We start from the raw sequence: 26,412 nt of genomic DNA on the forward strand, positions 1-26,412 counted from the left end.
TCATTTGAAGGGGAAGAGGTCCTCTGCCTTTTTGAGTTTTCAGCATTTTTGCATTATTTCTCATCTTTGTGAGCTTACCTACCTTTGATCTTTGAGGTTGCTGACCTTTGAGTGAGGTTTTTGTGGTGTCTTTTTCGTTGGTGCTGTTGTTTTGTGTTGTTTTCTGTTTGTTGTTCTTTTAAAAGTCAAGCCACTTTTCCATAGAGCTGCTGTGGTTTGCTGGGGGACTGCTCCACACCCTAGCTTTCATTGATTTTCCCTTACCTGGAAGTATCACTGGTGAAGGCTGTGAAATAGCAAAGATGACAATCTGCTCCTTACTCTGGGAGTTCTGTCCCAGGGGGATACTGACCTGTTGCTGACCTGTATGCTCCTGTAGGAGGTGTCTGGAGATCCCTGTTGGGAGGTCTCACCCAGTCAGGAGGGATGGGATCAGGATCCCACTTTAAGAAACAGTCTGGCTGCTTTTTGGTAGAGCAGGTGTGCTGCATTGGGGGAACCCTTCCTTGTCCTGACTGCTTGGCCTCCCCAGAGACAGCAGGCTGGAAAGACTGAGTCGAACAACCTGCAGAGATGTTGGCTACCCCTTCCCCGGGGGCCCTACCTCAGGGAGAAATCAGAGTTCTGTCCCAATAACCTTGGCTGGAGTGGCTGAAATTCCCATAGGGAGGCCCCGCCCAGTGAACAGGGATAGATCAGGGTCCCAGTTATAGAAGCAGTATGGCTATGATCTGGCACAGCAGCTGTGCTGGGTTGTGGGGGACTCTTCCTCCTCTGGACTGCCTGGACTTCCCAGAGCAGGCAGGCTAGAATGGCTGTTGACTGAACTGCAGTAACTGGTGCCACTCCTCCCACCAGGGGCTCCATCCTAGGGAAACATCAAATTTCTCTCTATATAACCCTGGCTGAAGTGCTGAAGTCCTCCAGAAAGGATCTGTCCAGTGAGGAGAGATGGATTGGGGTCCCACTCAAAGAAGCAGTCTGGCCACAATCTGGCACAGCTGCTGTGCTGCTTCATCAGGGACTCCTCCTCGTCTGGACTGCCTGGACTCCTCGGAGCTGGCAGGTTAGAATGACTGACCCAACCAAACCAGAGAGTTGGTGGTCACCCCTCCCCCTGGAACTTGGTCCATCTCAGACCATTTCCAGCCTGTTGCTGCTGGTTGGCTGGAATTCCAAGCCAGTGGGTCTTAACTTGTGAGGTGCCATGGAAGTGGGGCCCACAGAATGATGCTGCCTGGCTCCCTGGATTCAGGTCCCTTCCTAGGATAGAAGTATAGATGGGTCTTCTGCCTTGCTGGAATTCCTGGAGCCAGAGTATGCAAAACTCTTGGGTCTTGGGTCTCTGTATGTGCCTCAGCAGCTGCCCCACTGAGACTCCTCACAGCTCTGTATATTGAACCAAAGGCCCTGGTGGCATGGGCTCATGAGGGAATCTACTGATCCATGGGTTGCAAAGATCCATGGGAGAAGCACGGTTCTCTAGGTGGGGTCACACAATCGCTCACCACTTGCCTTGGCTGGGGGTTCCTTTGTCTCCGTGCCACTCTGAGGTGTGTCATCACCCCACCCTGCTATTCTTTCTCCTCCATGGGTCGAGTTGTCTGCCTAGTCAGTCCCAATACACGAAACTGTATATTTCAGTTGAAGGTGCTGAATTAACACACCATTTTCACTGCTCTCCATGAAAGCTGTGGACTGCACCTACTTATAGTTGGCCATCTTGGCCCCTCTCAATGTACTCAGGTTTCTTATTTTTAATGTCCATTTTAAATGGATAAAAGCCAGCAAAACTCTAAATACTTTGAACATACATGAATATAGGAGCATAGCAATTTTCCTATTCTCACAGTACTCAAATTTAATTCCAAATTAAAGTTTGGAAAATACTGATTAATAATTCATCACTTCTATTTTCAATGTAATCATGTATCTGAGGTAAAACTTTTTTATTACTCATTCTGTAAGCATGTTTAATTGGTCAAATGTGTAACAATTCATATATCCTCAGTATAAATGAATAACTTCCATATATACTTCAGCAACACCTGCTCTGATCACAAATAATAATAAATAATTATCTTTCAGAAAAAACAAGGGTTGATTTCTGATTATTGCATTTGCTAATGTACCTTCCTAGCTTGGCTTAGATAGTGTAGTCTTTCACTAGTATAATTTGGCATGAGGCATTTGAAAACTGTGGTACTACTATGAGTTCTAGATGAACTTCAATATATTATTTTAACTGTAAAACTGCTCTGTAGTACAGATCATGTAAAGGATAATGTATTAGTCCATTCTCACACTGCTATGAAGACAGACCCAAGACTGGGAAATGTATAAAGAGGTTTAATTGACTCACAGTTTTGCATGGCTGGGACAGTCTCAGGAAACTTACAATCACGGTAGAAGGAGGAGCGCAAGCAAGGAAGTCAGGAAGGGGAATGGACGCGGGGGAACTACCAAACACTTATAAAACTATCAGATCTCATGATAACTCATTCACTATCACGCGAACAACATGGGGGAAATTGCCCCCATGATTCAGTTACCTCCATCTGTTGTCTCCCTTGACACATGGGGATTATGGGGATTACAATTCAAGATGAGATTTTGAGTTTGGACACAGCCAAAACATATCAGGTAATAAGGTTCTGTATACCTCATGTCCATTACTACAGAAACAAAGTGGGTCAACAATAATAGCTTTCCTTCGAGCCTTCAATTGTTAAAGGGTTACAGACCTCTCATTCCTCCATTTAATCTACATGAAACAAGGTAATAAATCCTTTTTTCCTCTAGGAAGTTTTCCCTAATGTGAGTGGATTGAAAAGAGTACTAAACTGAAAATCAGTTCCAACTCTGCCACTCATTAATGTGTAAGTTAAATTCTATATGCCTTGGTTTATTTATCTGCAAAATGATGAGGTGACGGACTACTTGCCTTCTAGCTCTATAAATCTATAACCTGTAAACACATGAAAAAAGCATCTTCTATTAAAAGCGACTTCAAGCCAAAATGAAAAATAAATATTTATGTAAAATCTCACTGCTTACTGCAAATTATAGTCACTCACAATAGGACAACATGTGTATAAAATGTATCAAAAACACTTGCTGTGTAAATTAACAATGCAAGATATACCAGAAGAAATGATTAGCTTATGAAAAAGTATCCAATTGAGTACTCATTATGCTAGATGTGATAGAAAATGCAAAATAAGTATGTTATTTAAGGCTTCCTAAGTGTGAAGAACAAAAATATACCCAAGTGAATATATGACCAGGCAGAATGTAGTACATGCTCTAATAAAGTACATGCCAAATAGTAATGGGAAAACAGTAGAGGAAAAGTAGAAGAAACAACAGATGCTGGTGAGGCTGTGGAGAAACAGGAATGCTTTTACACTGTTGATGGGAACATAAATTAGTTCGACCATTGTAGAAGACAGTGTGGTGATTCCTAAAGGATCTAGAACCATAAATACCATTTGACCCAGCAATCCCATTACAGGGTATATACCCAAAGGAATATAAATCATTCTATTATGAAGATACATGCACGTGTATGTTCACTGCAGCAGTATTCACAATAGCAAAGACATGGAATCAACCCATATGCCCATCAATGATAGACTAAAGAAAATGAGGTAAATATACACCATGGAATACTATGCAGCCATAAAAAAGATCATGTCTGTTGCAGGGACATGGATGGAGCTGGAAGCTATTATCCTCAGCAAACTAACGCAGGGACAGAAAACCAAACACTCCATGTTCTCACTCATAAGTGGGAGCTGAACAATGAGAACACATGGACACAGGGAAGGAAACCACACACAATCAGGACCTGGTCCTGTTGGGGGAGGGGCAGGAGGAGAGTGAGCATCAGGATAAATAGCTAATGCATGCAGGGCTTATTACCTAGGTGATGGGTTGATAGGTGCAGCAAACCACCATGGCACACGTTTACCTATGTAACAAATCTGCACATCCTGCACATGTTTCCCAGAACTTAAAATTATAAAAAAATTATACTTTTCAAAAAAAAAATATTCAGGGAACCATGACCTCACCAAATAGACAAAATAAAGCACCAGGTGCTACATGAACAGGTGCTCAAAATAACTAACCATCTGGAAAATGGAAATCAAAACTGCAGTGAGGGCTGGGCACCATGGCTCAAGCGTGTAATCCTAGCACTTTGGGAGGCTGAGGTGGGCAGATCACGAGGTCAAGAGATCGAGACCATCCTGGCCAACATGATGAAAGATCATCTCTACTGAATATACAAAAATTAGCTGGGTGTGGTGGCACCTGCCTGTAATGCCAGCTACTCGGGAGGCTGAGGTGGGAGAATCGCTTGAACCTGGGAGGCAGAGGTTGCAGTGAGCCGAGGTCACGCCACTGCACTGCAGCCTGGCGACAGAGTGAGACTCCGTATCAAAAAAAAAAAATGCAATGAGACATCACCTCACTCCAATCAGAGTGGCTACTATCAAAAAAATAAAAAAATAAGTGTTGACAAAGATGTGGAGAAATGGGAACCCTTACACACTGCTGGTGAGAATGCAAATTAGCACAGCCATTATGGAAAACAGTATAGTGGTTCCTCAAAAAATTCTACCATATTATCCAGCAATCCCACTGCTGGATATATATCCAAAGGAAATGGAATCAGTATGTAGGAGAGCTATCTGTATGCTCAGGTTCACTGAAGCATTATTCACAATAGCCAAGATATGGAATCAACCTAAGTGTCTATCAACATATGAATTGATAAAGAAAATATAGTGTGTATATACACAATGAAACACCATTCAGCCATAAAGAAGAATGAAATCCTATCATTTGTGGCAACGTGGATTAACCTGGAGGACATTGTGTTAAGTGAAACAGCCAGGCACAGAAAGACAAATATCACATGATGTCACTTATATGTGGAATCTAAAACATTGTTCTCATAGAAATAGACAGTAGAATAGTGGTTACCAGAGGATGGGGAGTGGTGGGTGAGGAGATGGTGAGAGATTGTTCACTGGGTACAAGTTAATCTTTTTAAAAGAGACAAATGAAGAGGCAATAAATAATCTATGTCTGATGGGCAGCAAATGTCACAGTTCTCACAACTAAAGTGTACTAGTTTAAGAGGTTATGGGAAACTGAACAAGTTTACTTTCATGCCTAGTTTAAAACAAATGTAAGCAGTAGAACTGTTAAAAGGTACATGAGATAGTTTCTTAAAAGGTTCTCATAGCTCCTACAAAAGTTTCAAAGACAGAACTAAAGTCACCCGATCCATAAAAAGGGATTATCTAAGAGACCTTATGAGATATGTCAACACTATCCCTAATATCTTATGCTATGAGAAGTTTTCCAGATTACCAGGCTAAAAGAGACGTAAGAATAAAACCAAGCTTTAATATGTATTATTACTTAAACACCAGATAGGCCTAAACATAAAATACATGGAACACAGAAAACTGAAAATTTGAGCACAATTGGCAATGTTAAGTCCCCATCTATTTCAGCAGATTTTTTTTTGCATTTTTAAAATAGATCAGTTTTATTCTGCTAATTCCATAAAAAACAATGTAAACACAAGCATTCTGTACATCTTGCTAGTGAATTCACATAACGCTTAGTTCCCTAATCCTTTGACCTCCTCAATTTCTCCAGTTATTTTCTGTTTGGACCACTGGCCACAGGAGTGGAGTGGGGTTGGGGCTTAGGAGAGAACAATGTGGCTTTTTGGTATGACTTGTTGTATTGCTTGCCCTTTCAGCACACTCCCGTTACTCCTAACACAAAGTTTGAGATTTAAGCCCTTAAACCTACAGGAATCACCATCAGCGTTTTCTTTTTCTGTTTGTTTGTTTGTTTGTTTGTTTTGCATAGGGATTACTGGGTTAGTAATAGGAGACTGGTATAGAAAGTGGTGAGGAGCTGAAGCCAACAAATTGCTTTAAACACAAGATGAAAATGCTCTGTTCTGTCCACACAAAGAATCACCTAATACTGGTATGAGGCATCTCACTTAGCTGTGGAGAAGTCCTTGGAATTATAGCTCAGAAAGACATTTCCAGCCTTAAGTCAGTAAACCTTTTGGCAATGGGCTAACTGCCTTAAAGGGAAAAAAAAAAAAAAAAAAAAAAGAGTTCTACTTTAAAGATTTTGCAAGTGGAGGCCTGGTGTGGTGGCTCACGCCTGTAATCCTAGCACTTTGGGAGGCCGAGGCAGGCGGATCACGAGGTCAGGAGATCGAGACCATCCTTGCAAACACGATGAAACCCCATCTGTACTAAAAAAAATAAAAAACATTAGCCAGGCGTGGTGGCGGGCACCTGTAGTCCCAGCTACTTGGGAGGCTGAGGCAGGAGAATGGCGTGAACCCAGGAGGCAGAGCTTGCAGTGAGCCGAGATCGCGCCACTGCACTCCAGCCTGGGCAACAGAGCAAGACTCCGTCTCAAAAAAAATAAAAATAAATAAATAAATAAATACATAAATAAATAAAAGACCTTGCAAGTGGAGAACTTGTTCTACAAAGATTCTTGGAAATGTTAACGGAGATAACTGACATGGGTAACTGTGAGCCAACCAGGAACTGTCAACAGCCTGATCTCAGCAGATATTTTTAAAAGGAACACAGGAGATTCATATGCATGGCTTTAAACATTAAAATTGATCCTTGGTAAAATGTATTTTCTGAAGCATAAACTGGATGACTAGAAAATACATATTTAATGAATAATACTAGTAGTTCTAATCACATTACATGGGGAAATTTTGCAAATTACAAATAAACCAAATTGCATAGAAATGAATTTTGGAGTTATAAGGAACCAAAGAAAGATTAGCGCTCAGTTTTCCTGGCTTCCATTCAAGTGTTCCTTCTACTATAGCACACAGCATACTCATACTAAGGTTAAGATCCAAGAACAATCCCTTGTCTGTTTTTCTAATGTTTAAAAGTTAGGGACAAATCCCCAGTTTATTTATCCTGACAATAATCAGGATGCTGGAGTTACTTTGCAATGTATTCTACAAACTGGCTAGTGTTCTTGAGATAATTAGCACATGTTAACTATAAGCAATTACTTTTGTCATAAAATGTGTTCTACTTCAAATTGTAGCTTAAAAGCTTCTGGGACCTAAAAGCCACATGGTGACAAGTGATAGTTTTCATTTAAAACTTAAAATTTAAAAATTATAAATGTAAGAAATTAGTTTTCAAGCCTGGGTTGACTATTTTTTCCCCCAAATAAATAAGGCCAGTTATGCTGAAACTTCACTAATATGGCAGCCACTGGCCACATGTGGCTATTAAGTATTAAAATGTGGGTAGTCCATATTCACACGGCTTTAAGTATAAAATATATAGTACATTTTGAAGACTCAGTAAGAAAAAGTAAAGAATATCTAAATTTTTATATTGAATAGTATTTTGGATATATTAGATTAAACAACACATATTATTAAATTTAATTTCACTTAAAAAATTTAATGTGGCTACTAGAAATTTTTAAAGTGTATTTGCCTTGCATTATATTTCTACTGGACCACTCTAAGCCATCAGGAATGAATATCCAGGTGCCACAGATACATAGTCCATTCATTCTCTAAGAATAAGTTAGCATTATAAAAATTGTCTACATAATCAAGTCAATTTCTGAGCTAAAAGAAAATGATATGGAAATACATGGTAAATCTAGAAATAAACTTTAGTTGGCTTTAAATATACCCTGTTTCCAAAATTTACATTTTTGGTTTTGGTTAATACAGGAACTAGTTAATATTCCCTGCACATATGTAAATTGATCAGAAAGGAAGGTGGCCCAGAAACATGGTAAAACCAAAAGTTATCCTTTGTACACTGTTCAATTCACTCATAGATGTGTTAATTCAAAACACTTACATATGACACCATTAGATACTCTGCAAACACACACTAAGCTATAACTTAGGGATTTGAGCAATTTAACATGAATGCAACAAAACAAAACATTATAATTTATACCTTTGCTCCGTCTGAAATATTGTCCCAGTTTCCACCACTCAAAGAGAATTTTCCATTGCCTATACGCAGCAGTATCTCTTCAGGAGTATCATTGGGGCCATTAGCAAATGGAGTGTAGCTATTAATAAAATAGATTTTAATAGACACTAGAGGGTAACATACCCAAACAATGAAAGAGATACATATATTTACTACATGCAAATATTTACTTCAGTGAATAAGAATATCATCTCATATTTCCTTTCACTGTTAAAGTCAAATTTTATATTTCAAACCATAAATTTAACCTTAATAAAATGTTTAATAAAATGGAGAATCTTGTTTACATCAATTATTTCTTTTGTCTCTGATTAGCTAATCAATGTAAAATAAAATAAAGGTGGCTTTTCATGTAAAGCTTCAGTCTTAAAACTAGACAACACTAAAACACACATATTCAAGGCATAGGTTAGCAAACAAATATACCTAGTAAAAAGAAAATGTTAATTTCATATATTCATAATGTATTTATTGTCTTGTTTCAATTTATTCATTAACATTTCATCATTATCATCAGTGGAAACGGTTATCATTACTTTTTATTAATATCTATGAAAACTTGGTTGGTTAAATATGTATATCGACACAAAACTCCATAGCCATTACATTTATTATGTAGATCAATCATGTAGATTAATTGTGCTTGACATGCAAACTTTAGCTACCCTTAACTTCAGTATTTACTGTTGTCTATAACTAAATATTTTGCATAAATTTGTAATACCTAAAAGTATGTGAAATGTACTGAGATGTGTAATTAACACCAAGCCATTAAACAATTTAGAGTCACCATTTTTATAACATATTTATAGAGCTCTTGGTATGTCAAGCATATTTAAACTATACTAAATGCACTCTTTAAAATATATGTCTAAGTACATTATAATTACTTGCTAAACTTGGCCATTTTCTCTATCACAACCCTCTTGGAATAATTTCTACATCCATAAGTTTTCACTTCTAAATAAAAGTGCTACTCATTATTGAGAGTAAAATAGTACTTGTATTATTTGTAAAGTATCAACATTAACATAGTCCAATTGTTATTACATTTGTTTTGAGCTTTTCTTTATCCTTTCAAGGGAAGGTAGTTGTGTGTGTTTCTGCAGTTTAGTATTGTTACTACTTAGATTTGCACAATCTTACTAAATCTCTAGTGCCAGAATAGTTAGAATTCAAGTGCTTAAAAAAAATCAACTCAATATCAACAAGTTCAGTGGGCAAGTTGTTGGTGAAACATGCAATTATTTTATGATTAAATAAATATTTTCAAGATTAAAATAGAAATGCACTTTATTTTTAAAAGTTTTAGTTCTGGGTGACAACTGCCTTTTAAAATTATTATGTCATAAATTAGTAGTGCCTCATTCTACACCTTGCTTTATGTTTTTTAATTTTATGTGTAACAATCAATATTAATATTTTGAAATGTAAATGTCATTTTCCTTAAAGTTATTTTAATCTATTCTCTTTCTAGATGAAGATATACAGATGAAATTCAAATAACAATGTTAATGCTTTTGAATATATGTTTCTTACCCAGCCAACATTGTGTAAAAAAGGACTCCTAAACTCCAGATATCACAAGCAGCATCATATCCCTGTTGCATAAGAACCTAAGAAAGAAATACTCATTATATGGTGTTACTCAATATAAACTCAATTTTCTCCCAAAGAAGTTGTTTTACTTCTAATAATCTCACAAAAGTTCATAATATAAAAACTTCAATCATTTTATGCACTTGTAGTAAAGACATAACCCCTGACACCTCAATGAGTTTTCTCTCCTCCTCTTAGGAAACCAGATATAGAGAAATCTAAACTTAAGATTAACATGTACAGAGATTTTAATGTATACTATATACAGTACTAAGGCTTTTAATTCTGTCACTGATTCTGTGAGGTAGACAATATTCCAATTTTGAAGATGAGGAAACTGAAGTGAATGTTAAGTAACTTACCCAACATTACAAAACTAGTAAGTAGTAGAACACGAAGTCTTATTTAAGCCTGTGTTTTTAATATCTATGATAACTGCCTCTTTACTACACAAGATATGGCAAGATAATATATAATCTCACAAAAGCAGAATGAATTTATATTTTACCATACAAGGTCAATGTCTTGAAAACAGCAGTATATTTCTGGACCACAAGTACACATTTGAAAAATACTGAATGGCTTCATTATTTTTCATACAATAATTTAGGAAGCTGTTTTTTGGGGCCAGTGTTAATAAAAATCAAATAATACATTTGCTATGTATTCATGTGAGATTTAGCTACGAAGTTAATAGAGTTCGTTAGAAAAATAAAGAGATGAAATGAGGCCATTTTCTTTCCATTTAGAAAAACAAGCCCATTGCTAAAGCCTCTAGGCATAGGAACAAAATAGAAACATTATTAATGCATTAACACTGGGGATTATATAACCACCAGCATGAATTTCTCATCTATAAAAGGCTAAAAATGTTAGTGTTTGGCTTTGACAACTGCCAAACATGAGTAAAGAGTATATAACAAACTTAAAATTTGAAATATGCTTTTTTCCTAGTCTTAGTGTATTCATAAAAACACACATATGTGCAAAATTAAGAGGGTAAAGAGGATATAAAAGCATAATTGGCTTATTTAAATAATACAAGTAGGGAACTATAAAGTACTTAACAAATAACAAGGTATAGCTAAACCACTCATATCATGGTAAATGTTAACTTGGCATACTCTAGTAAAACATAGACTTCTAGTGATTTTATTCCCTTATCTCTTCATTTTTCTCATCACATCTTACAGTTCCAATCATCACCATGTTTTCCCTGATTCCCTTAGGAAGCTTTTTAAAGTTTCCCAAGTGATCCAATGCATAGCTAAGGTTGAGGGCCACTGCACAGAAACTACTTGGACAGGTGAGAATTAATCAAGTCAGCTGTAGGTACCATATACTCCTATAACCTTCCTAGTTATGAGGACAGACTTGCGCAGGAGGTGTCATATTGCTTAATTAGGGCCAAACATGAAAAACTTGTTTTAGGTAAAGAAGAAACAGTCCACTTTTTTTCTAGAGCTAGTCTCAATGCCCTAGTGAGCATATAATCATAAAAGAAACAAGGCAGAGCGGTAGGATGAATGAAAGAGTACAGAGGTTATGTTTCACACCTTTTTACTTGTATCAAGTTAAATACAAAGATAGAAGTCACAATTAAAGTAGTCAGTGGCATAAGTCTCTCTCTCATTTGGCTTCCCAAGTCAGCAGAAAGTAACATACACAGAGCTCCTCATTCCTGTTGCTCAAATCAATTAACGTTTGGGGCAAACTATATGACAGCCCAGAGAAAGAGCAAAGGAGAGTTAACTTCAAAATTAGTTTATAAAAAGCTACAGACACAGTATCCCTCAACTTTTTTGTAAGCCCCATTAATTCAGGAACTTCTTTAACCTCAGTAGGCTTATAATAACAGTTGAATAATATAACGTAGTGGATTTGCCTTTATCGAAGAATAAAATATTTTAGAGATATATTCACTTTTTGCAACATAGGTATAGTAGAAAAGCACATCTACCTAATAAACCCCAAGAGGTTGATCAAACTGATGCATAATCTAAAAACTAAAAGAATATTTTCTCCTTATTGTTAAGCTAAAATTGCAATAATCAGTGTAGCTCTTAGCAAAAACTTTATGCATTGTGAAATAATGAATGTATACCCCCATAAATGCCATTTTTTATTGAAATGTCTGTATCGATATTTGAATCTTTCCAATTCTAGTTTAAAAAAGAATGCATTTTTATATTTTACTAATACCTTTTGAAAGCGTCTGAAATTTCAGAAACAAACCTCACTAAAAATACTCTCTGTGGTTCATTAATAACAATTTACAAATATATTATTGATTCCTAGCATGGGCTTCATCACTCAAAAATAAAACTTTCAAAGTATTTTGAAAATACAAATACTAGTCAAAGGTAGTTCAAGCACTAGTTAGAGAGAAGTGGTCTCCAGATGCCCACCTGAAAACCTTCACTATTACAATGGTAAAAGTGTCTTACTACAGTGTACGTCTGTTGGGAAAAAAACATCAATGGGCTGTATTCTACTCTCTGGGTTTGATTACCTAACCATTAATCTAAAACTGTTTACCTAACCATTAATCTAAACACGGACATATTATATATTTTTCATTTTAATGTCTGTTGTTGATATGTTCATATGGTACATATTCACCTTAACATTTTTCCAGTGAGAAGTTGCCATAATACTAAGTAGTTTAGGTCCACAAGATTAAGTCAATATTAAATATTTGGCTATTAAAATGGTTATTCTATACTCTGCTCTTATGTCTACTGTATAAATCTGTTAGAATATTTATGAGGACCTTTATGATGACCATATATGCTATACATAACAGAAGAGCACTATCTCAAATATTCTGTCCTCCTATAAAACCACTGAAATGTCCTAAAAAGGCTAATTTTTTTATGTGCAGGCTATTATCTCATACACCTTAGGGCAGTACAATATGTTGTAACAGATAAAAACTTGTACATTATTTTATGAATTTTATTAAAATATAGATTAAATCACATTCTCCGGATACATACATAATTTCTTAGTCAAATCTCTTATCATAAAAAGCTTATAAAACAGATGTTCTGCCTGTTCTTCAATATCAGTATAGTATTTTCTATATTTCTATTTTCATTATTAAAGTTATTTTTATAGTAGCTACTTTAAAATAAAGACTGATTTACATTAAAATACAAGTGGCTTATTGTTAATATATCTGATGTGCAATATTTCCCTGAAAAAGCTAGTATTTGATATAAAAATAAAATCATAAAATATATAGAAGATAGGAATTCTTCTCAAATTATTTTACTCTGCTTCTCCTTTGATTGACACATCAATTTTTTCAAATCTGAAGAGTTTTAGGTATTTTGATTTTCATTGAATATGTAATTACATGTCAGTATTATCCATAACATATAAGAACAGCTACTGACTTGACAAAGAAAGCTTATAAAGAACTTATATGGCCAATGCCATCTCTTGATTCATTTTTCCCCAACTTCACTTTCACTGCTATGGAAATTGCTACTGTCAAAGCTCTCATCCCCATGGTTAGAATGAATGTTACAGCTTCCCAAATGTGAAATCTGTACCACAGCCTCCCCTTTCCTGACTCTTCTCCCTAAGAGCATCACCTTTCCTGATTCTTCACCCTAATATTTAGATATAAATATTATTTTCCAAGAAAAATCCCCACGGCTTACAAAAACCCCTGTGTGGCTATTTTCTCCGGGAGTTAGAAGATCCTAAAGACAATCGAGGATAGCACTGCCCTTATATGTTATTTATAATGCTAATCTATATAAATTACCTAATGTTCAGTACAATTTAACATACCTGATGAATCTATCCTAGCTTTGTTATTAAGTGAATGCTGGGTCTTGAATAAGTCATTGAAGTACCTCGAGCCAGTTTCATCATTTAGAATACATAATATATTGAAGCTGTGGCTATCTTTTCCCTACCTCCCAACTCTAAAATGATATGATTCTGAAATTAGTATATAACCCAACAGAATAGAATAGCCTGATTATTACATTCTGGTTGGTTTTAGATGCTAGTTACCAGTGTAAATATTTATATTAGGGGCTATGAGAATTCCCTGATTTAAAGAACTTTAAAACTGAAAAGGGCAAGGTAACAGCTTTTATCTGCCTACCATAACATTCATATGGCATCATATAGATTCAACTAAAGGAAAAGAATGAAAGGCAAATGGTGAAGTTTTTAAGGAATACCTCAGGTGCAACAAAGTTTGCAGTGTAGCATGGAGTTAAGAGAAGTCCATTTTCTCCTCGAAGTTGTTTTGCAAACCCAAAATCACATATCCTGATTGAATCTGCACTGGCTGATTCATCCATGTATAAAATATTACTAGGTTTAAGATCACGATGAACAACCTTGAATATAAAGGAAAAAAGCATTATATCTATATAATTAACTAAATATCTGAGAAATAAAACATTATATCTATATAATTAACTAAATATCTGAGAAAAAGAAACTTTCCAAATTACAAAATTTTGAAAATGACATTTTGCTCAAGCTTAATAGCCTAAAATATACACAGGAAATTATGTCTGTCAGATAGATGTTCCAGTTTCTATTGTCTCAAAAGCCACTAGTTTTGTTAACCATTTCTAATCTCAATATATCTAAGCTCAATTCTCAGATCCACTTTTGGACATGCCATAATTTATATCACTTAGCATTATACATAACATATAAGAACAGTTCCTGACTTACAAACTAAACTAAGTTTAGACTTAGTCCATAATGGACTAAGACCCTACTCAACACCCCCCTCCTTGAAGTAAACAACCATAAAACCTGGATATAATACAAAAATCAACTATCTGAAGGCACTGGAGAATGAACAGAAGCAGATATACTCTGATGAGGAGTACACACTTTGTTGAAGGAGGGAACACAGGAAACCATACAAGGAGGTTTCCATATCTGTGGCTTTTAGCCTGGGTTTAAGTGCAATCCCTATGGTACACAGTGGTGGTAAAGACATGTGGAAAAACCCTCAGACCTTCTGGCTTAGAGGACCAGAAAGGAGATGCTGGAAAACTCTGAATGCTGAGTGGAGGAATATTATAAAGGAAAGAGCCAGAACTGATCCTTGTATCAAAAATGTGTGGAACAGGATCAAAATAATTTGTATAAAGACAAATAATATGAACAAAAACCAGAGCTGCTGGCCCCAAAACTAGTTTTCAGTTCAAGCCCAGCCAAGAAAATTACCCACTTAAACAAATGAAACAATAATAACTATTGGAGAAAAATAATGAAATATGAAATTCTCTATAACTGATTATTATAATGCTTAGGATACAATCCCAAATTATCTGTTATACAAAGAACCAAGAAAATAGAACACAGTCTTAAGAAAATCAATAAATTCTGATTCCAAGATGAACCATGCTAAAACAGATAAGGATTTTAAAGTGACTATCATAATGATCCTCAACAAAGTAAAACAAAACATGCTTTCAATGCATTAAACTCTCAGCAAAAAAAGGGAAGTCTCAGCAGAAAAATAGAAACAATAAAGAAGAAACAAATAAAATGTAGGACTGGTAAAAAAAAATGCTGAAATTCCCCCATGTGATAAGTTCCCTACTAGTACTCTCTATTTCATGTAAGTTATCCTTATCTTTAATCAGAGTTTACTATGCTAAAGCTCTTTAAGGACAAGGACCAGGTCTCACTCATGTTTGAATCCACAACACTTTTTACAATGCCTGGCCTGTAGAAATGCTCAATATGTGTCTTATTAATTTAGTTAATTGAAGTAAGAACCTGAAGGTTCATACAATAATAAAGAAGAGACGCCTATGATGCTTTTCTCAAAAATTCTCTTCATGCTTTATTTTAGAGAGGGTTGGTAAAGACAATCAAATAATTAAATTATAAAAAGCTACTGTTTAGCATTATATATTAAAAAATACTGAAAACACACTTTATTAAACCACACACAAAATTGAGTACTATTTTTACTAATTATAAGAGGGGCTCATGCAGAGTTTTCATTATGTCAATTCTAAATTGCCATTTTAAATTTCTTTATTAAGTTGGTACATATCTACTATTACAACTGATTCAAACTTAAATTTTTAAATTACTCCCTACTTTGTTTTTTTATACAGTTATATATATTAAAAGTTCCCTTTTTTTGTAACTCAGTTCATTTGCCTTCTTTATGAAAGGACAGGAAGCAAAATAACAAGCCTGCCCCTTCACCACAAAATTTAATATAGTAATACTTGAAATGTTTAGAATACACATTTCTTACTGTATTTAGGGAAGGAGCTGGCAAGGTTCAAGATACATGTTAGGTAATCTGAACTTTATATGTTAGGTAACTTGAATAATAGTCACTGTATGTCTTTGGTTAATTCTTTTATGTTTGACTTTTAAGTCTAAGTTTCATAATTTCAAGGTCAAAGTTAGGTACATTTATATAATTCAAACCGCTTTTTAAATGAATATGCTATTAAATCAGGGCCAATTGGCAGAGAGAAAATAATTATTTCCTAAATCCATAAACTTCACTACATTGTGAGTTCTATTAGGATATTCTCTATAGAAATATATGTGAATAAAAGCAACTTATTTTAGGTGGCATCATCTCCTATATTTTCATGAAGATATAGGTCCCAGAATAGAAAGAAAAAAGTTAACTACAACTTACTCCTTGACAATGAAGATAGTCAACTGTCTTACTTATTACATATAGTATATCACTAGCCTCCCGTTCCGAGAAACATTTTTGTTTGAGAATACGGTCAAGTAACTCTCCTCCTTTCATTAAATCCGTAACAAGGTAAACATATCTACCATCATCAAAGACCTACAAAAGAACGCAGTTTTAAAATGTTATTATTTATAATTACAATTCTATAATTCTTAAATTAGATTTTAATTATATTTACCTTTCTACTAGACTTCCCTCTAGTATTAGAAACAAAAAAGACATTATTCCTTTACTCTTAATGCAGTACAGGCTGTACTAAAGGTTGAATTGGCTAAACAGTCACCTACACAGTCCCATGAAACCATGTTAAACATATAATTTTATTGCCTTTTGAAGTTATAGGTTGCAGTTCATCAAAGAAAGAAATTAAAAAATAGAACTCTGTGCCTCTCAAATGACCTCTATCTCAATTTTTTTACTGTATTATAGCTACTTCTCTTCCCCAAACGTAAGCTTCTTTCTGAAAGTAAATACATTATTTATTTTTTATACCCTTCCCTCAGTTCATTATCTGATTTGGTATCTTAAATACTGGTTGAATTCCAATAGTATACCAAGGAAAACAAATAAGAAAAGTATTTATACACTTTTCACTCAGGGCATGTATGATAAACACACACACACACACACCACAGTAGTTTAAAGATTACAAATCAAAGTGCATATCATTTTCTGACACAAATTGATCAAGGTGATAGTTGACTTTTCTGTCTTGTATAAAGAGAAAAGAACATTATCTCCTTATGTGAAAAGTGAGCATTCAGTAACATATTAATGAGTTATACATTCATTTTACAAAACTATAGACTAAGACTATTTCACTCCAGAAACAATCCATAATGCTATAGCCAATTACTATACAATCAAGAAAGTAAAATATTCAAGAATTTGGCAGATCCCCAGTCTCCTGTATCTTCTGTATTGATAGCACTACAGAATAATAATTGGTGTTAGCTACAATGTTAACTAGTTAACCAGCCAGAATATATTCATGTAATGAGGAAATTCTCATTTACCAATCATCATAGTTATTTTTGATATTCTATAAGACTAGAAGTATAGAATCATGGGAAAAAAAAGAATTAAAGTGGCAATTTAAGAGTCCTGAGATTTTTGAGGCATGAAAATAAATATGCTAAAGACATTAAAAGTTTCAATAAGAAAAATAAAGTTCCAATTCATAACTTCATTAGCTTAGCTGATACCTAGATTTAGAAATACCTACATCCTTCAAAGTAATAATGTTGGGATGTTGTCCATAGCGCATCAATATTTCAATCTCTTCTGAAGGGTCTCGCTTACTTTTGTCAATGATCTAAGAAATACGAAAAAAGAAAAATATCTGAGGCAAACAAATTATTTTGTCTAAAATGAGTATTTTCCATTTGGTTATATTTTTGAAGAAATGCTTAAAAACTCAAGAACAATACTTACCTCATATTATTTTAACATTTAAAAACATAAGTAAAAAACTTAACAGAAAAAAATAAAATTTTAACATTATATCCTATTTCACTGAAATTGTACCAATGATGACGTGATTGTAATTATCACAACTGCTCAATCTTAACATAATACATGTATAACAAAATTATTCAAATGCAAAAATTCATGAAATACACTGTTCCTACATAACAAAGGCTTGAAAAGAAATTCAAAAATGAAAATATTAAGTCTCAGAGTTCTTTCTCATCATCTTATCTTTCCTATCTTCATTTACTCCACTGAAAATGTTTGTCAGTTGACTCATAATTTAAATTACATGCATAAAACAAACAAGAAAGCTAGGCTCAGAGACAATACCTTCACTGCAAATTCCATGTTGGTAGTTGCATGTATGCATCGCTTGCAAACAGAGTAGGAGCCAACACCAATATCCTCCTTCAATTCATATACTTCACCAAATTGTGCAGCATTTCCATTTATCTGTTTATTTTTAAAAAGTAAAATACTAAGGAGAATGAAATATTTTCACATTTTCTGTCTTTTGTCCTAAATATACATTCATCTTAAGCCTTAAACTAGAATAATTCATTCTACAGAAGTTTTATCGACATTTATAAATGGCGTGAACCAATCCTTTCTTGATACCCACAGGCAACATAATAAAGCAACTAGCTTATACATCACCCTTCTATTTTATTCAAAAGAGGCCACATAAATATAATTAAAAGTTACCACTGTCTGCTCTTTTCCAAAACACACAGGGACATATTTAATTCATGATTTATACCAATAGATAAACAAAGAAGTTAAAAATCACTTTAAAAAAAACGATTAAAAATACATCAGCAATAACAGAGAAATAATTATCCCAAAACTGAATAATGTGATTAAGTGGAATTTACCTGAACAATTGGTAATACATTTGCACTTGTGATAGGAGTGATTTTATATTCTTCTGCAATAGAAGTTGCAACAAAGCTGAATCCTTTGAAGAGCTGATGAGCATTTGCACTGGCTGGCAAACCGGGAGAATCTAATGTCCAAATAATTACATTTAATTATAACTACACACAGAATTCTATGATATAAAGTGTCAGAATTTCTTTAACTATAAAGGAAACCATTAAATGCTACTAACATATTATATATTTGATTTATTATATATTATCTGTCTCCTCCCATCTGTATACATGCTCCATTTTAGTCAGTATTTTTTGTCTGTTCTTTTCACCACTGCATCCTCATTGCTTAGTACATAGTAGGTATTCAATATTTCTTGAGTGTATGTATGAAACTGTAAAAGACAGAGTAATATATCTCACGTCTTACCTCCTACCCCATCCTGTAAATCATTAGCATGCCAAAGGACTTATAAAACAAAGAAATAAACTTGCCACCCTTTGACCAAGTTCCTTCCTTCCTGATAAATATTTCCCATTTAAAACATCTACTTGACAGCTGCCCAAGCAATGTTTTGTATAGGATCCATATTTCCCATGGACAAATCAACTCTCTGCAAATTTACCATTCTTTTAGTTTTTACTTCACAAGAAAGTTTATTTTTAAACTATCTACTTAAATAAAATCTCTGATTTTACAGATAAACATGCATTACCTTTAGGTGTTTTTGCAGTAAATTCAGGATCAAAACAAAAAGTATCATCTGGTTTTCCAGAAGCAGGTTTGAAAGGAGGTTGAACTTCTCTTTTATATAATTTCTAGAAGGGACAACCAGATAACACAAAACGTATTAAGACTTTAAAAATTATTATACTTTGTAAAACAAAGCAGAACATAATATTCACAGTCCATAATAGAAGACTAACAATTTCATAGTTTCAGATAACTGTTAACCAAATTCTAAAATTTTGAGAGATAATGTTCAAGATGTAATGAGGCCAAGAAACATAGCAATGATGCCACAAGCTGAATTCACAAGGAATGCTCAATTTTGGATATCAGAAGTTTTTGAATGCTCATTGATAATATAACCATGCAAATACAGCACAGTAATAACTAAAATGCTCAAGGCTTTCAAAATCAATAATTATTTTTAAAAAGTGCATATTTCATCTAAAATATTGTTTTCACATAAAAAATATACGTTAAATGTACTGTTTAGGCTTGTATCAGATAATTGAAAATTTAGTCGTCTAACAATCTATCTTGCTAAAATCTATGCTTTTGAAAGGCATAGAAAATTTCTAATAATATATAAAAGCCACTTCTTTTGAAATCTATTTTTTAAAAAGCTTACAGTCCCACAGTGGGGAAAAATAAATAGGGAATTACTTTTGAGTAATTTTTATGTATTTAAATATGTAAACATGACTTTTAGTTCATTATGGCTTACTAGAAACAGCTAGTGGGCTAGTGGATGCCTCTCTCATGGTGAGGAATCAAAATAGCAATAAATATTGACACTTCAAGTAGATTTTCTAAGAGGCCACACTAGAATTCATCAGAGAAGTGATGGAATTGGGAATCACAGAAAGAAGAGAACAAAGCCATGCCGTCAGGTGAACTGAGACTGGTGTGGAGCCAGGAGATCTTCGATGCAGGGAAGGGAAGATTGAGTGAGAGACCCCCAGGATTCCACAATTCTGCCACAGACTTTCAATGCTAACCATAGGTAAACCCCCTTGAATCCCCTAGGCCTCCAGTTTAATACACGGAGCTGCCTGGAATCTGTGCAGAGGTACTGCTCAAGCCCATGTGGAATCCCATGGACTTTTGATCCCTGAGCAGCCTGGCGCCGGCTGCTGCCACCTCACTAGGCAGGGAGCAGGGAGGCTGGTACTTGTGCACACCTCAAAGACAGATACTGCAGCTGCAGTACAGAGGAGTGAGCAGAATGCACGCTGCAAAGACTGCCGGTCTCAGCTGTTCCCTTCTAAATGAGGCCTCCCTTCTTCAGTGTTGGGTCTACAGCACAGCTGCCCTGCCCTTACATGTATATACTGGCCACAGCCTGGTGTTCTTCTTAGAGCCCAGCCCCCAGAGGCTCGTGACCCGCTCTTCAGCTCCCTCAATAGCTGCGCCCAACACCACCATCACACTTGCCACTCCTGGGCCAAGGAGACAGTGGGGAAACTGGGCACCTTTGTGTGCCCACCAAAGTGAAATCCACTGCTGCTCCTTCAGGAGGGAAGTGCAGGTGGGCCAAGCACCCCATAGCTGCCAACCTTCATTGCTTCAGCTGAAGGGGTCTGCCTTCCCCAGTGAAAGGCCAGCAGCCCAGCGGCCCTGCTCCCAACTATTTCACCTGTTACCTGGAGGCCTTCTGAGAGCCTAGCCCCCCATAGGCCTGTGATGGGCCTTGGGACTTCGACCACATAAGCATTCTGCAGGCCATTCTGAGAGCCCAGACCCCAAAGCATGTGATCAGCCATGGGAATCCCACCACCAGAGCGTTCTGTGATAATCTGAGAATCCTGTGGGCCCTTTTAAGAGACCAGCTCCCACAGGCCTGTGATCAGCCATAGGGACCCAATCACCTGAGTGTTTTGCTATATTCTGAGCATTCTGTGGGCGCTCCCGAGAGCCCAGCCCCACAGGTCTGCAATATGCATTGATGCACCAACTGCCTGAGCATTCTGCAACTGCCTAAGTGTTTTGTAGGCCCTTCTGAGATCCCAGCCTCCACAGGCACATGATGTACCCTAGGACTCCCACTTCCAGAGTACTCTCCCTGCCTCTGCTTGAGAGTTCTGCCTGTGACTCCAAGAACCAGCCCATCACTCCCTATCATAGCCAGCAGCAGGAGTCTAGAGACTTAACAAGTCCACTGGCCTGGTCCTGGTCCACTTCTTACAGGACTCATACATGCTGTCTCCTGGGCATTCTGGGGGATAAGGAATTGGAAGTTTGCCTAGTCCTGTCTACCACTGCTAGTACATGACCATGCCTCAACCTGGGGTCTGAGCTCAGAGGGACCCAACCAGACGATACTGCCACAGCTAATACCCAACTGTGTGTGCTAAAAAGTGGAGCCCCTCTGTGATATCTACAGAAAGCAGAAGCATTACCCATTGGCAAACAGGTGAGTCACAAAGCTGTGTGTATTGGACTGATTCAGGAGGTTCCACCCAGAAACAACTCCCATAGACAAGTGTCTTCTGTGGCTATCAGCTATACTGCGGTCTGGAGATACACGGCAGTTGTGGATCTGAACTGAGAGCCATGAGCTCTGAGTCAGGGGTGTGATAGATAAATAGAACATATTGCTACCTGTCTAGGATGTGAAGCTAGTCTTCCTACTCTCTGCTGAGACCTTGGCACTGCTCACCAGGTACTCCCCCAACCATGCCTGTCAGGGCTGGCTCCCCAGTTCATCATTGGGGTATTTGTGTGCAAGCCAGACAATCAAGCTCTGCCTAGCTCCCTTTCCCCTCACCCCTCATGGGACAAAAAGGTCAGGGAACCTGGCATTCCACTGTCCAGCCCATCATCTGAAACAACATAGAGCACCACACAATAAACAAATATCAAGTGCATACCGATCTGCTTTTGCCACAGCTGGCTTGTACTGGTAAATGCCACCTACTGCCCTATAGATTGAACTGTAAAACCCAACATAAAAACCTGACTAAGAAGTGCACAGGCCTATAGAAACAAAGCCAAAAGACTTCTGGCTACTTCCCAACCTACTCTACAGTCACACCCCCCAAGAGGGGCGGCGGCAGGGGGTGAACCACGTCCACATGAAAATAAATTCAAAAGTAATATGTGACAGCTTCTACAGATAAGAAGGAACCAACATAAGAACTTCAGGACTACGAAGAAAAAGAATGTAATGACATCCCCAAAACGTCACAGTACCTACCTAGCAATGAATCTTAATCAAATGAAAACTTTGAAATGACAGATAAAACATTCAGAATATGGATTGTAAGGAAGCTCAATGAAATCCAAAATAAAGTCAAACACATACAAACAAACACAAAGAAATCAGAAAACAATTCAGGAGATAAAAGATAAATAAATATATATATATATATATATTTAAATTCTGGAAGTGAAAAAAAGATGAAAGGAATTTCAAAACAGAATTGAAAACTTTAATAACATACTAGACCATGCATAAGAAATAATTTTGAGCATGAGGGCTGGTCTTTTGAATTAAATCAGATAAAATTAAAGAATAAATAATTTTTAAAAAATGAACAAAGTCTTTGAGAAATATGGGATAATGTAAAGTGACCAAACTTGCAACTTATAGGCAGAAAGAAAAAAGAAAAGAAGTTTGGAAAGCATAATTGAGGAACTAATTCAGGAAAATATCCCCAATCTTGTTAGAGACGTAGATATCCAGATATAAGCAATTCAGAGAACACCTAGAAGACACTACAGAATACAAACATGACCGAGGGATATAGTCGCCAGACTATCCAAGTTCAATGTGAAAGAATAAATCATAAAAGAAGCTAGAGAAAAGCATCAAATCACCAATAAAGGAAATCTCATCAGACTGACAGTGGACTTCTCAGCAGAAATTTTAACAAGCCAGAAGAGAATGGGGACCTAATTTTAGCTTCCTTTAAAAAGTGCCATCCAAGAATTTTATATCCAGCCAAAATAAGCTTCATAAAATGAAGAAGACATAAAGTCATTAACCGAAAAGAAAACACGAGAGGAACTTATCACCATTAAACAGGCCCCATAAAAAATGCTCAAAGACGTTCTAAAGATGGAAACAAAAGTATGTCACTCACCATCATAAAGGCACACATAAGTAGAAAGCTCAAAGATCCTATAAAACAATCATACAATTGAGAATCCAAGGCAACTAGCTAGCAAATTATGACAGGATTAAAACCTCATATATCAATATAACCTTCAACATAAATGCCTAAATGTTCCATCCAAAATACGTAGACCAGCAAGTTGGGTAACAGACAAAAACCAACCATCTGCTGCCAAAAAGAGACCCACAGAATAGCTAAGCACATCTACAGACTTAAAGTAAAGGGGTGGAAAAAGATATAGCATGCAAATAAAAAACACAACAAAGCCGAAGTAGCCATTCTCATATCAGATAAAACAGACTTTAAACCAGCAACAGTAAGAAAAGGCAAAGAAAGGCATTATATAATGATAAGGGCTCAATTAAACCAAAAGATTTAATTATCCTAAATATATATTCATCCAACACCAGAGCGCTCAGATTCAAAAACAACTACTAATAGACCTAAGAAAAGAGATTGATGGCAATACAATAATAGTGGGGGACTTCAATACCAAGTGACAACACTAGACAGGTCATCAAGGCAAATGTCAACAAAGAAACTCTGGACTTAAACTGGACTCTAGACCAAATGGATGTTTACAGAATATTCTAATCAACAACTACAGCATATACATTTTTCTCCACCGCCCATGTAACACTCTCCAAAACTGAACATATGCTTGACCATAAAGCAAATTTCAATACTTTCAAGAAAATCAAAATCACATCAAGTATCCTATTGGACCACAGTAGAATAAAATTAGAAATCAATACCAAGGGGAACTCTCAAAGCTACACAAGTACATGGAAATGAAACAAGTTGCTCATGAATGACTTTTGGGTGAACAACAAAATCAAGGCAGGAATAAAAAAATTGAAATGAATGAAAATAGAGACAGAACATAACAAAACGTCTGAGACACAGCTAAAGCAGTGCTAAGAGGAAAGTTTTTAGTGTTAAATGCCTAAATCAAAAACACAGAAAGATCTCAAATCAATGACCTATTGTCAAACTACACGAAAGTAGAATAACAAGAAAAACCAAACCCAAAGCTAGCAGAAGACAAAAAATAACTAAGTCTCATTTCGCTGAATAAAATGAGATTGCGACCAAAAAAAGGATCAACAAAATGAGAAGCTGGTTCTTTGAAATAATAAACAAAGTTGATAGACCTCTAGATGGTTTAACCAAGAAGAAAAGAGAGAAGATTCTAACAAGTACAATCAGAAATTGAAAAGGGCACACATTGCAATGAATACCACGGAAATATATATAAAATATGATCAGTGATTACTATGAACATGTATATACACACAAACTAGAAAAGCTAGATGATGGATAAATTCCTGGAAACATACAGTCTCCCAAGATTGAACCAGGATGAAACAGAAAACACAAACAGACCAAAGGAACAGTGAAACTGAGCCAGTAATAAAAAAATGTTCCATCAAAAAAAGCCAGGACCACACAGGTCTAGAAACAAGTTTTTCCAGACATGCAAAGAAGAGCTGGTGCCAATCTTACTAAAACTGTTCCCAAAAATTGAGGAGTTGGGAATCCTTCCTAATTAATTCTACAAAACCGGTATCATCCTGAGAGCAAAATCAGGTAAGGACACAACCAAAAAAGAAAACTGCCAGCCAATATCCCTGATGAATATAGATGCAAAAATCCTCAACGAAATACTAGCAAACCAAATCCAACAGCACATGCAAAAAATAGTTAATCATGATCAAGTGGATTTTATTCTAGGGATGAAAGGATGGATCAACATTTACTAATCAATAAATGTAAATCACCACATAAACAAAATTATAAACACAAATCATGTGATCATCTCAATAGATGCGGAAAAAGCATTCGAGACAATTCAACATCACTTGATGATAAAAACCCTCCATATAATAGGCATAGAAGGAACATACTCCAACATCATACCAAATGCAGGAAAGTTGAAAGCATTCCTTTCAAGAACTGAAACAGGTCAAGGATGTCCACTTTTACCATTCCTAGTCAACACAGTACTGGAAAGTCCTAGCCAGAGCAATCAAGCAAGAAAAAGAAATAAAATACATCCAAATTGGAAAAGAGGAAGTCAAAGTACCTCTATTGATTGATGATATAATATGATACTGAGAAAACAGAAAAGACTCCTCCAACAGACTCCTAGACTTGATAAACAAATTCAGTAATGTTTAAAAAAATAAAATCAACATACAAAAATCAGTAGCTTTTCTATACAACAGTGATGTTCTAACTGAAAACCAAATGAAAGTTCTAATTAACAATCTCATTAACAACAGCCGCAAAAAGTAAAATACCTACAAATACATTTAACCAAGAATGTGAAAGAGTTCTACAAGGAGAACTATAAAACACAGATGAAAGAAACTAGATCAAATGGACAAATGGAGAAACATCTCATGCTCATGAATTGAAAGAATCAATATCATTAAAATGACCATACCAGTCCAGGCACAGTGGTTCACGCCTGTAATCTCAGCACTTTGGGAGGCTGAGGCAGGAGAATCGCTTGAACCCAGAAGTTCCAGACCATCCTAGTCAACATACCGAGACCTCATCTTTACCAAAAAAATTTAAATTAGCCAGACACGGTGGCATACACCTGTATCCCCAGCTGCTCAGGAGGCTGAAGTGGGAGGATTGCTTAAGTCTAGGAGGTCAAAGCTGCAGTGAGCTGTGATTGTGCCACTGCATTCCAGCCTGGGTGACAGAGAGAGACGCTGTCAAAAAACAAACAAACAAACAAAACAACAACAAAAAAAAACATACTGACCAAAGCAATATCCACATTCAATACAATTCCTATCAAACTATGAATGCCATCCTT

General features: G+C 35.9%; 1 protein-coding gene across 10 annotated transcripts in view; it reads right to left on the minus strand.

Annotated features, from left to right (window-relative positions):
* The window catches only part of RPS6KA6 (ribosomal protein S6 kinase A6), a 130,154-nt gene that overhangs the window by 29,830 nt on the left and 73,912 nt on the right, over positions 1 to 26,412 (minus strand). For all 10 annotated transcript variants that reach the window (XM_047441997.1, XM_011530919.3, XM_017029425.2 and 7 more), the window contains 8 exons: positions 19,448 to 19,550; positions 18,735 to 18,865; positions 18,190 to 18,312; positions 17,612 to 17,701; positions 16,324 to 16,482; positions 13,862 to 14,023; positions 9,597 to 9,673; positions 8,019 to 8,136 (listed from right to left, as the gene is read on the minus strand). In XM_047441997.1, the coding sequence (XP_047297953.1) occupies positions 8,019 to 8,136; positions 9,597 to 9,673; positions 13,862 to 14,023; positions 16,324 to 16,482; positions 17,612 to 17,701; positions 18,190 to 18,312; positions 18,735 to 18,865; positions 19,448 to 19,550 (963 nt within the window). The remainder of the gene's footprint in view (positions 1 to 8,018; positions 8,137 to 9,596; positions 9,674 to 13,861; positions 14,024 to 16,323; positions 16,483 to 17,611; positions 17,702 to 18,189; positions 18,313 to 18,734; positions 18,866 to 19,447; positions 19,551 to 26,412) is intronic.

The sequence above is a fragment of the Homo sapiens genome, chromosome X (assembly GCF_000001405.40).
Source record: "Homo sapiens chromosome X, GRCh38.p14 Primary Assembly".
Taxonomy (NCBI): domain Eukaryota; kingdom Metazoa; phylum Chordata; class Mammalia; order Primates; family Hominidae; genus Homo; species Homo sapiens.